This window comes from Homo sapiens, chromosome 12 (assembly GCF_000001405.40).
Source record: "Homo sapiens chromosome 12, GRCh38.p14 Primary Assembly".
Classification (NCBI taxonomy): domain Eukaryota; kingdom Metazoa; phylum Chordata; class Mammalia; order Primates; family Hominidae; genus Homo; species Homo sapiens.
In genome coordinates this window covers 32,035,717-32,048,763 of record NC_000012.12, presented here as the reverse complement: position 1 = coordinate 32,048,763, position 13,047 = coordinate 32,035,717, and the positions used below count along the sequence as shown (strand labels likewise).

General features: G+C 45.1%; 1 annotated feature.

The window, feature by feature from the left end:
* Nucleotides 4,702-4,902: a silencer, noted in NCBI's record as "peak1660 fragment used in MPRA reporter construct". NCBI's record gives its function as "represses an SCP1 promoter by STARR-seq MPRAs in K562 erythroleukemia cells {active_cell/tissue: K562}" and the evidence as "EXISTENCE:reporter gene assay evidence [ECO:0000049][PMID:32103011]".

Here is a 13,047-nt window from a genome sequence, read left to right as displayed (position 1 = left end):
TTGTTGTTGTTGTTGTTGTTGTTTTTGAGACAGAGTCTTACTCTGCTGCCCAGGCTGGAGTTCAGTGGCATGATCTCGGCTCACTGCAACCCCTGCCTCCAGGTTGAAGCTATTCTCCTGCCTCTGCCTCCCAAATTGCTGGTATTACAGACGCGTGCCACCATGCTCAGCTAATTTTTGTATTTTTAGTAGAGATGGGGTTTCACCATGTTGGCCAGGCTGGTCTCGAACTCCTGACCTCAGGTGATCCACCTGCCTCGGCCTCCCAAACTGCTGGGATTACAGGCATGACCCACTGCGCCTGGCCAAGAACTGCTTCTAAGTTCAGTTTATTTCAAATCTTGGTGGATACATGGCTGTAATAACCAGAACAGACATTTCATGAAACCTCTTCATACACAACAATTAGGGTGAGGCTCATAGTAACAATAATATAAATCCGTATTTCAAACAGTGTTGGTAATTTTGAATGTTTTGACCAACTTCTAATAAACTATGTTAGATTTTTATTATATTTTCTTGTCAAATAGTAGACAAAGGGCTTCTACGCCTGTAGGAATAGATGTCAGTGTTGTCAAACAGCTCCTTGTTTGCCGCCACATGCATTATTAGAGTTATCTTGAAAACCAGCAGTTTCTCTGTAGGAGTCTTTTAAAGCCACTTATCTGTTGTGTAAAGATAGGTTTAGTTGAAACTAGATCATTCCATCTGCCTTTAACCAGGCACTCCTAACCTGTAATATGCTGCACTCTGAAGGGGTTCAGGGAGGAAAGTCACCACAATGTGACGCTTCTGTTCTTCCCCGAGGAGGTGACACATAACGGTGACATAGATTCAGAGTGACAAATCCAGTGCATACTCTATAATCAATGTCAGTAAAGTTTAAATTCTTGCTTTTTTAAATAAAAATAAAATGGACTAGGAATTCTGGTCTTCCTGCATCTCAGAGGCCTCACTTGCACTTTCCCCGGATTTCTTGCACAGCCCACTGGAGTCTGACAAAAGGATACCCTTTCAAGTCTGAAGTTTGGCAGTCACTAAGTGGGCCCCGCCACTGTGGCAGCGGCACCCCATGACTGTGAGATCCATTTTGCAAAGATAAATAAAACACTTCTAAGAGTAACTGGGAATAACTGAAGGCAGGAAGTTACAGTCTCTGCTCAGTGACACATAGGTCTTTCTTCCTCCTGACCACTGAGCACTGTTGACCTTTATCTGAGACCCTGCACCTCTGGAAAGCAGTGATAATCAGGCAGGCATGGTGGCTCATGCCTGTAATCCCTGCACTTTGGGAGGCCAAGGCAGGTGGATCACGAGGTCAGGAGTTTGAGACCAGCCTGGCCAACATGGTGAAACCCTGTCTCTACTAAAACAATAAAATAAAATAAAATAAATTATCATGGCTTAGTGGTGGGCGCCTGTAATTCCAGCTACTTGGAAGGCTGAGGCAGGAGAATTGCTTGAACCCAGGAGGCAGAGGTTGCAGTGAGCTGAGATGGCACCACTGCACTCCAGTCTGAGCAACAGAGTAAGACTCTGTCTCAAAAAAAATTTGTTTGGCCGGGTGCTGTGGCTCATGCCTGTAACCCCAGCACTTTGGAAGGCCAAGGCAGGTGGATCGCTTGAGGCCAGGAGTTCAAGGCCAGCCTGACCCATATAGTGAAACCCTGTCTCTACTAAAAATAAAAAAATTAGCCGGGCATGATGGCACGTGCCTGTAGTCCCAGCTACTCAGGAGGCTGAGGCAGGAGAATCACTTGAACCAGGGAGGTGGAGGTTGCAGTAAGCCGAGATCACACCACTGCACTCCAGCTTCAGCAACAGAGTGAGATTTTGTCTCAAAAAAAAAAAAAATTTTTTTTTTTTGGCCGGGTGCAGTGGCTCATGCCTGTAATCCCAGCACTTTGGGAGGCCAAGGCAGGCAGATCACCTGAGGTCGGGAGTTTGAGACCAGCCTCACCAACATGGAGAAACCCCGTCTGTACTTAAAAAAATACAAAATTAGTTGGGCGTGGTGGCGCACACCTGTAATCCCAGCTACTCAGGAGGCTGAGGCAGGAGAATTGCCTGAACCCAGGGGGCAAAGATTGCAGTGAGCCGAGATCGTGTCATTGCACTCCAGCCTGGCAACAAGAGCAAAAAACTCCAAAACAAAACAAAAACAAAATCAAAAAAATTTAAGTAAAATAAAATAAAGACAGAAAGAGGCCAGGCATGGTGGCTCACGCCTGTAATCTCAGCACTTTGGGAGGCTGAGGTGGGCAGATCACGAGGTCAGGAGATCGAGACCATCCTGGCTAACACAGTGAAACCCCGTCTCTACTAAAAATACAAAAGAAATTAGCCAGGCATGGTGGCGGGCACCTGTGGTCCCAGCTGCTGGGGAGGCTGAGGCAAGAGAATGGTGTGAACCCAGGAGGTGGAGCTTGCAGTGAGCTGAGATTGTGCCACTGCACTCCAGCCTGGGCGACAGAGTGAGACCCTGTCTCAAAAAAATAAAATAAAATAAAATAAAATAAAGAAGACAGAAAGAAAATGTATTTATTTAAAAAGAAAAGAAAGCAGCGATGATAAAGCACCCTGCACCCCCAGTACCCCCACCCCCAACCTGAACCCCATGCAACCCCCATCCTCCACCACCTTTTGTTTTTCAAAATCCCCCATTCTTTTGTGTTCTTGGAGAAGACTTGCTCAGAGAACCATCCTTCTGCATAGGACATAGGTACAACTCACCGTCCACTCTCTTGTGACCCCACGGTTCTCAGGGTTGGCTCCCTTGTTCATCTGCAACAAGGCCAAACACAAATCCTCCAATTTCCCATTCTTTGCTGTAGTTGACTAGCTAAGATTAGAACAATTTGTTTCCCTGAGAATAATATTTCTGGTTCAGCTAAGTGACAGACAGTTCTGCATACAAAACAACCCCAACTGCATATCACCCCACTTCAGCTTGTTTACTCCTCTCTATATAAGTCTAGGGCAAAAGCACCCTGCTGAGATCCTCTGATCTTTGCCTCTCAAGTGTTCTTTAATCAATCTGCCTACTTCTCTGGGTTTTGTCTTTGACACAACCCTCGATTTCTCTTTGAAGAAGTGTCACCTTCACCAAACCCAAGTGTGTCCTCCAGATAGATTACTGCTCACCCTGCATAATGCCTCCCAGGTAAACCTTCTCCCCTAAAAGAGAAATACCTCTTTTTTTTTTTTTTTAAGACAGTCTTGCTCTATTGCCCAGGCTGGAGTGCAGAGTGCAGTGGCTCAATCATGGCTCACTGCAGCCTCATCCTCCCAAGCTCAAATGATCCTCCCACCTCAGTCTCCTGAGTAGCTGAGACTACAGGCAAAGGCCACCACACCCAGCTAGTTTTATTATTATTATTATTATTATTATTATTATTATTATTATTATTGAGACTGAGTCTCACTCTGTCTCCCAGGCTGGAATGCAGTGACCCAATCTCGGCTCATTGCAGCCTCTGCCTCCCGGGCTCAAATGATTCTCCTACCTCAGCTTCCCAAGTAGCTGGGATTACAGGTGCACGCCACCATACACAGTTAATTTTTATATTTTTAGTAGAGACAGGGTTTTGCCATGTTGGCCAGGCTGGTCTCAAACTCCTGACCTCAGGTGATCTGCCTGCATTGGCCTCCCAAAGTGCTGGGATTACAGGCATGAGCCACTGTGCCCGGCCCCAGCTAAATGTTTATTTTTTGTAGAGATAGGATTTTGCTATGTTGCCCAGGCTGGTCTTGAACTCCTGGGCTCAAGCAAACTGTCTGCCTTGGCTTCCTAAAATGCTAGGATTACAGGCATGCCCAGCCTTCTCTTCATTTTTAAAACTCAAACTTCATAGAACATATGTATCTCTCAATATAACATTTCTGGCTAACAATTCTATAGAAAAGTCACAAAATTTTTACATCCTAAACATGATACAATATTTTTCAAAAAATGAAATGCAAGAAAGGCCTTTTATTCCAAATATTATTGCTATTTCTTCAGAGTCTGTTGAGGCAATCCTCAACATTGTATCTGCCCCAAAGGATGTGTTGAAGTCCTAACCCCTGGTACCTGTGAATGTGACCTTACTTGGAAATAGTCTTTGCAGATGTAATTAAGATTTAAGTTAGAATGAGGTTATACTTGAGTACTATATTTGGTCCATTTTGCATTGTATAAAGGAATAGCTAAGGCTGGGTAATTTACAAAGAAAAGAAGTTTAATTGCCTCACAGTTCTGCAGACTGTACAAGAAGTGTCAGAGATGATAAATTCCTCTTCAAAAAGCTTTCGTTCCCTGTTCTTTGTTTCTTAAAACCAACTTCCTTGTACTTCCTTGTCTCCTAGCTACCTGTTCTGTAAACAACCTTCCTGCCTTTGCCATGCCCAGACAAGTCCAGATATGCCTTCCCGCCTAGTAACAGACTCTTTTCCCACCTAGTAACGGACTCTTCACCTAATAGACCCTATTCAATTTTAAACCTTAGCCAATCGAGTTAGCTTAGATTGTGAGGTCCAACCCCAGCCAATGGGGAAAGGACACAGAAGTGCTAGGAACTGCATTAGAGATAAAAACCCCTTTCCTACCCTGCTCGGTGTGCTCTTGCGATAATGACTGGCGCAAGCTGCACCCTTCTGCAGAAGAAAATTTGCCTTGCTGAGAAATCTTGTGTTTGAGTGCTCATTTTCTTTACGACTCTGAGCTTTTATTTCTAACAGAACAAGGTGCCAGTGTCTGTTTCTGGGGAAGCCTCAGGAAGCTTCCAATCATGGTGGAAGGCAAGGAGAGCCAGTGTGTCACATGGCGAGAGATTTTAACAATCAGATTGCACATTAACTAATAGAGCAAGAACTCATTCATTACTGTAAGGAGGGCATCAAGCCATTCATGAGGGATCTGTCCCCATGACCCAAACATCTCCTACTAGGCCCCACTTCCAACACTGGGGGTCACATTTCAATTTGAGATTTGGAGGGGACAAATATTCAAACTATATTAAGTAGTATGGACTCAATCCAATATGACTGCTGTCCTTATGAGAAGCAGAGAAGAGACACGGAGACAGACCCAGGAAGAATGCTATGAGGCAATGGAGACAGTGATTAAAGTGCTGTATCAACAAGCATTTACTGGCAACACCAGAAGCTAAAAGTAAGGCATGGAACAGATTTCTTCCCTGGAGCCTTCAGAAGGAGCATGGCCCTGCCAAGACCTTGATTTTGGACCTCTGACTTCCAGAACTGTAAGATAATACATTTTCTGTTTTTTTAACCCACCCAGTTTGTGGTGCTTTGTTATGGCAGCTCTAGAAAGCTAATATAGAGTCCCTATGAACGTTTTGGAAAATTGTGGCGCGATCAACAAAAGGGGCTGGGCACAGTGGCTCACGCCTATAATCCCAGCATTTTGGGAGGCTGAGGCCAGAGGATCACTTGAACCCAGGTGTTTGAAATAAGCCTGAGCAACATAGTGAGACCCTGTCTATACAAAAAATACAAAAATTAAGGCTGGGTGCAGTGGCTCATGCCTGTAATCCCAGCACTTTGGGAGGCCAAGGTGGGTGGATTACCTGAGATCAGGAGTTCACGACCAGCCTGGCCAACATGGTGAAACCCCATCTTTACTAAAAATACAAAAAATTGGCCAGGAGTGGTGGCTCACGCCTATAATCCCAGAATTTTGGGAGGTTGAGGTAGGTGGATCACCTGAGGTCAGAAGTTCAAGACCAGCCTGACCAACACGGTAAAACCCCATCTGTACTAAAAATACAAAATTAGCCAGGCGTGGTGGTGGGCACCTGTATTCCCTGTTACTCAGGAGGCTGAGGCAGGAGAATTGCTTGAACCCAGGAGGAGGAGGTTGCCACTGCACTCCAGCCTGGGTGACAGAGTGAGACTCTGTCTCAAAAAATAAAAATAAAAATAAAAATAATTAGTTGGGTGTGGTGGCCTGAGCTTGTAGTCCCAGCTACTCTGGAGGCTGAGGTAAGAGAATCGCTTGAGCCCAGGAGGCAGAGGTTGCAGTGAGCTGAGATTGCACCACTGCACTCCAGCCTGGGTGACAGGGCGAGACTCTGTCTCAAAAAAAAAAGAACAAAAATTAGCTGGGTGTGGTGGAGCACGTGTGTAGTCCAGCTACTCAGAAGGCTGAGGTGGGAGGATCACTGGAGCCTGGGAGGTCAAAGCTGCAGTAAGCCATGATCACGCCACTGCCCTCAAGCCTGGGTGACATAGTAAGACCCTGTCTTAAAAAACAAAACACGAAACAGGCTTGGTGCGGTGGCTCACGCCTGTAATCCCAGCGCTTTGGGAGGCCGAGGCAGTTGGATGGCTTCAGCTCAAGAGTTCAAGACCAACCTAGGAAACAAGGTGAAACTCTGTCTCTACAAAGAATTCAAAAATCTAGCCAGGCATGGTGGTACACTTCTGTAGTCCCAGCTACTCAGGAGGCTAAAGCTGGAGGATCGATTGAGCCAGGAGGTAGTGGCTGCAGTGAGCCACGATCATGCCACTGTGCTCCAGCCTGGGCAACAGAACAAGACACTGTCTCAAAACCAAAAAACAACAAACAACAACAAAAGGGGTGCAATAGGCCAGGTGCTGTGGCTCATACCTATAATCCTAGCACCATGGGAGGCCGAGGCAGGAGGAGCCCTTGAAGCCAGGAGTTCAAGGCCAGCCTGGACAACAAAGCAAGACCCTGTCTCTACCAAATAAACCAAAAGACAAAAAAACAAAATGAAACAAAACAAAAGGGGTGCAACACAGGACCACTGGTGGTGTCAAAGGAAAAATTGCACTGAACAACGTTGAAACTTTAGGCAAAGTTAAACTGCAGGAGGGGAGAGGGCCAGAACTAAGTATGAACTAAACTGCTCATCAGAAGGGATAGGTTTTGTTTGTTTGTTTGTTTGTTTGTTTGTTTTTGAGGCGGAGTCTCTCTCTGTCGCCCAGGTGGAGTGCAGTGGCGGGATCTCGGCTCAGTGCAACCTCTGCCTCCCGGGTTCAAGTGATTCTCCTGCCTCTGCCTCCAGAGTAGCTGGGACTACAGGTGCCCACCACCACGCCCAGCTAATTTTTTGTATTTTTAGTAGAGACGGGGTTTCACTGTGTTAGCCAGGTTGACGTCGATCTCCTGACCTCGTGATCTGCCTGCCTCTGCCTCCCAAAGTGCTGGGATTGCAGGCATGAGCCACCGCACCCGGCCCAGAAGGGATAGGTTTTAAAGGATTGGGTGAATTAGTACTGAAGGACATAAGGGAAGTCACAGGCCATTTGTGTTTGCCGTTGGCTTTTTATAATTTGATGTCTTTATGGGGTACGGAGTGATGTTGTAATATATGTAAACAATGTGAAATTATTAAATCAAGCTAATTAACATACCCATTACCTCAATACTCATCTTTTTTTTTTTTTATTTTTTTAGAGAGACAAGTTTTCACTCTGTTGCCCAGATTGGAGTGCAGTGGCACCATTATAGCTTACTGTAACTTTGAACTCCTGGGCTCAAGCCATCCTCCCACCTCAGCCTCCTGAGTAGCTAAGACTACAGGCACACACCATCACGTCTGTCTAATTTTTTTAATTTTCTATAGAGACAGGGTTTCACTATGTTGCCTAGGCTGGCCTTGAACTCCTGGCCTCAAGTGATCTGCCTGCCTTGGCATCCCAAAACTCTGGGATAACAGGTGTGAGCCACCATGCCCAGCCAATACTCATCATTTTTTTGGTAGGAAGAGCATTTGAAATGTATTCACTTAGCATTTTTGGAATATACAGTACATTATTATTAACTATAGTTCTCATACTGTGCAATAGATCTCAAAAAAATATTCCTCCTGTCTAACTGAAATGTTGTACCCATTGACCAACATTTCCCCATTTCCTCGCTCCCAGCCCCTGGTAACCACCATTTTATTCTCTACTTCTATGAGCTTGATTGTTTTAGATTCCACATACATGTGAGATCCTGCAGTATGTGTCCTTCCCTGCCTGGCTTTTTTTCATTTAGCATAGTTCTCCAGGTTCATCTATGTTGTCGCAAATGGCAGAAATTCCTTTTTTTGAAAGGCTAAATAAAATTCCATTGTGTATTTGCTAGTAGGCTTTCTCCAAAGGAATTATAGCCTCTGCTGTCCTCCATGGGAGATAGCACCAGAAGTGGGCATCTGCCACTGGAAGAGGGTCCTCACCAGAACTTGGCTGTGCTGGGACCCTGCTCTCAGACACGCAGCCTTCAGAACTGTGAGAAATAAATTCTAATTGTTCAAAAATCAACAAAAAGGAGAAATAAACGTATCCTAGCTTTGTGACAAGAGTTAGTTTTGTAACTTAGAGCACGATATCTTGAAACTTGGAGCAAGGCAATTTGGAGTCAGGCTCCTGCTGCCCTCCCACAGAAACAGAGATAAGGATGCTATGTCCTGCTGATTGCATTTCAAAGAAATAGTTCCCAGGTCTTGGAGAAAGACTTTCCTGGGTTGTAAAACTGACAAAGCTTTTTTAAAGATTATGCATCGACTAAAGGTAAAATGACCAAAAAAAAAAAAAAAATTGGCATCTCGAAGTATCAGAGAGAAAATTTACAAGTTTTCTAAAGCAAATGCTCTAAGAAGAGGGAGGTCAGGGGCCTCCCTCAGGAGGAAGCCCGCCTAAAGGGAAACATGAGCTTGTCTTGGTCTTGAATCTTCTACTGCACAAAAGCCCCTATCTGTTATTCACCATATTAATTATTTGGTGATCAAGAAGCAATGTTTTAAACATTTCACAACTGACCAGATGTTTTGTTTTATAAGAATTATATTTAGGTACCTTACCATGCTTTAGTTAACCTTTTAAGAAATTGATTGAGGGTTTGGGGTTGACATAGTATAATTTTTCTGTTTAAAATAAAATAAATAGGCTGAAGGTTAGCATTTTCATGCAGAACAACCAATTTTCAGTAATAGATTACTGATGTTAAGCAGGAGAGGACTACATTTCTAAATTGTTTAATTTTTTTAAATGACAGACCCAAACTTCTTTTCAAAGAACAGCCTCTCTGACAGGTTGATTCAGTGCAGGCGCACTGCATTCTGAATCCTAGGGCAAGGCCATGTTTAATGAGCTTTCTCTCTGCATCCCCCACTTCTATTCCCACCCACTAAGACCCAGGGCTGACTGGCCATCAACTCAAAGACTAACAGCGGGACGATCTCACTGGCGGGACGATCTCACTGGCGGGTTGCCTAGGAGGCTTGGGAGTGAATAACAGGCATCTGGTTCTAAGATCCACAGCGCAGATTTAAGGAAAAAACAGCTGTTAGCCATACTCCCTCTACCCCAAAACAGTTTTTAAAAATTGCTGTTGGAAGCCAAGAATGATAAGCAAACAAAACAATAGAATAGAAAATAACAAGGCTGGGCGCAGCGGCTCATGCCTGAAACCCCAACACTTTGGGGGCCAAGGTGGGAGGATTGTTTGAGCCCAGGGGGTTGAAACCGGCCTGGGCAACATACTGAGATGCTGTCTGTATAAAAATTTGTGAAAATAGCTTGGTGTAGTGGTGTGCACCTGTGGTCCTAGCTACTTGGAAGGCTGAGGAGAGAGGGTTTCTTGAGCTCAGGAGTTGGAGGTTGCAGTGAGCTATGATTTTACCACTACACTCCAGCCTGGGTGACAGAGTGAGACCCTATCTCTAAACAAAGAAAAGAAAAGAAAACAGCCAGGCGCGGTGACTCACGCCTGTAATCCCAGCACTTTGGGAGGCTTAGGTGGCCAGATCACCTGAGGTCAGGAGTTCGAGACGAGCATGGAGAAACCCTGTCTCTACTAAAAATACAAAATTAGCTGGGCGTGGTGGCACATGCCTGTAATCCCAGCTACTCAGAAGGCTGAAGCAGGAGAATTGCTTGAACCCGGGAGGCGGAGGTTGCAGTGAGCCGAGATGGCACCATTGCACTCCAGCCTGGGTAACAAGAGCGAAACTCCATCTCAAAAAAAAAAAAAAAAAAAAAAGAGTCCGGGTGCGGTGGCTCACACCTGTAATCCCAGCACTTTGGGAGGGCGAGATGGTTGCATCACGAGGTCAGGAGATCGAGACCATCCTGGCTAACACAGTGAAACCCTGTATCTACTAAAAAAAATACAAAAAATTAGCCAGGCGTGGTGGTGGGTGCCTGTAGTCCCAGCTACTCGGGAGGCTGAGGCAGGAGAATGGCGTGAACCCGGGAGGCAGAGTTTGCAGTGAGCCAAGATTGCGCCACTGCACTCCAGCCTGGGCTGGGCACAGAGCAAGACTCCGTCTCAAAAAAAAAAAAAAAAAGAAAAGAAAAGGAAAAGGAAAGAAAATAAAACAGTGCAATGGTGTAAGGCTAAGTATTAATTCAGTCACGTATGTGTGTCTGTGTGCCTGTGTCCTGGGTCATAAGATAAGCTGTGTTTCTTTGAGAACTGGCCTAGGAAATCCCTAATAGTTACCTGAAGGGAAGGAAGAAAGAAGTCAGTTGATACTAAATGTCTTAGATAGCTACAGGTCAGGCTTTGAGATCTTAGTTCCATCCCCGCAATTTACCTACCAATCAGTATTATTGGTAGTCCATATCACCTGAGGAGTCTTCAGCTGTCCCAAGTCTGGCATTTGAAACACAAAACTCGGCCAGGTGCAGTGGCTAACACCTGTAATCCCAGCACTTTGAGATGCCAAGGCGAGCAGATCACTTGAAGTCAGGAGTTCGAGACCAGCCTAGTTAATATGGCGAAACCCCGTGTCTACTAAAAATACAAAAATTAGCCAGGTGTGGTGGTGCACATCTGTAATCCCAGCTACTTGGGAGGCTGAGACAGAAGATTCGCTTGAACCTGGGAGGCAGAAGTTGCAGTGACCCAAGATTGCACCACTCACTGCATTCCAGCCTGGGTGACAGATTGAGACTCGGCCTCAAAAAAAAAAAAAAAAAAAGAAATCCAAAACTCATTGCATTACCACTCTCCTCCAGTTTCTCTCACCTCCTGGCAAGCAGCCTCTTCACATATTTTAGGTAAGCCAGTAAGAAATAAAGAGGGTAAGTATGCATAAAGAAAAAACATGGCCGGGTGCAGTGGCTCACGCCTATAATCAGCACTTTGGGAGGACAAGCCAATCACTTGAGCTCAGGGGTTTGAGACCAGCCTGGGCAACACGGCGAAACCCTATCTCTACAAAAAACTATGAAAAATTAGGCCGGGTGCAGTGGCTCACGCCTGTAATCCCAGCACTTTGGGAGGCCGAGGTGGGCGGATCATGAGGTCAGGAGATCGAGACCATCCTGGCTAACAAGGTGAAACCCCGTCTCTACTAAAAATACAAAAAAATTAGCCGGACGTAGTGGCGGGCATCTGTAGTCCCAGCTACTTGGGAGGCTGAGCCAGGAGAATGGCGTGAACCCGGGAGGTGGAGGTTGCAATGAGCTGAGATCACGCCACTGCACACCAGCCTGGGCGACAGAGTGAGACTCCGTCTCAAAAAACAAAAAACCAAAAACCAAAACAACGAAAATTAGCTGGGCATGATGGCATAAGCCTGTAGCCCCAGAGATTCAGGAAGCTGAGATGGGAGGATTGCTTGAGCCCAGGAAGTCGAAGCTGTAGTGAGCTGAGATCGTGTCACTGCACTCCAGCCTAGGTGACAGAGCGAGACCTTGTCTCAAAAACAAAACAAAACAAAACAAAAAATGCTACATCAGCTTGTTTTTATAGATAGATATGAACAAACAAACAAAAGTAATTTCAAGGGACTATACGGAACATCTTAAACCAAGTTTGATCATTTTTACAAATGAGAAAAAGTTAATACCATTGACATTAATGATTGGCTTGAGGTAATATAGCAATAATGATCTCAACTCAGTATTGTGGTACTAGTGATAGATTAAGAGGAAGAAACGAGCTCTTCGTATTTTCAGACCAAGGTTCTCCTGGCCTATTCCACGCCCCGGACACAGAGTGTGTGAGTGGCACTTACGTGTGGATATGTTTTCATTCAGTCTCACTCTGGAGTCCCTGCGCTGTGCTTCTGGGGCTTTGGGACTGTCTGGAACACAGCAGGAGGCAGCACCTTGTGGTGGTGAGTGAAGCTGCCATTCCTCTCCATTCATCCTGAATTTACCTGGAGTCAAAGTATCTTGGGAGAGATGCTGGATCTAATTGGATTTCACTAATCAGTTGCCTAAGTGGAGTTTGGGGATGGGGACTCCCAAGGGTGTTCTGAGCAGGACATTTTCATATCTGTAGCTTAGGGACACCTTGTGGAGATTTTATCCATAGCTAACTAAAACATCCAAAAAGAAAACAAAACCACAAGTGGTTTGAAACTTAAGAATTTTCTTGGCCAGGCACGGTGGCTCATGCCTGTAATCCCAGCACTTTGGGAGGCCACGGCAGGTGGATCACTTGAGGTCAGGAGTTCAAGACCAGCCTGGCCAAGATGGTGAAATCTCGTCTCTACTAAAAATACAAAAATTAGCCGGGCGTGATGACAGGCACCTGTAATCCCAGCAACTCGGGAGGCTGAGGCAGAAGAATTGCTCCAACCTGGGAGGTGGAGGTTGCAGTGAGCCAAGATTGCACCACTGCATTCCAGCCTGGGCGACAGAGCGCGAGACTCCATCTAAAAAAAAAAAAAAAAAAAAAAAAAAAAGAGCAAAATTAACTTAAAAAGGCTGTCATTTGCCCTAAATGGGATGCGTACTTCACAGAGTGATAAGGAAATTCACCTCTGCATCTGCATATGTTACCTTGTCATTTTCAGGCACGATCTGCTTAAAAGAATTATTATCATTTGAAGTAGACACTGATTCTTCTTCAGCAAATTTGTGTCTTCTATTTTTTCATGTAGTCAATGATATTACTACAGCCTTCACCGGGGATGGTAAATGTTGATAAATATTTTGTGCAATTTATACATGCATCATTAGCTTCCTTGAGAAACTCAAAGTTCAGACTTAATTTTTCTTTTTCTTTCTTTTTTTTTTTTTTGAGATGGAGTCTCGCTCTGTCACCCAGGCTAGAGTGCAGTGGCTCGATCTCAG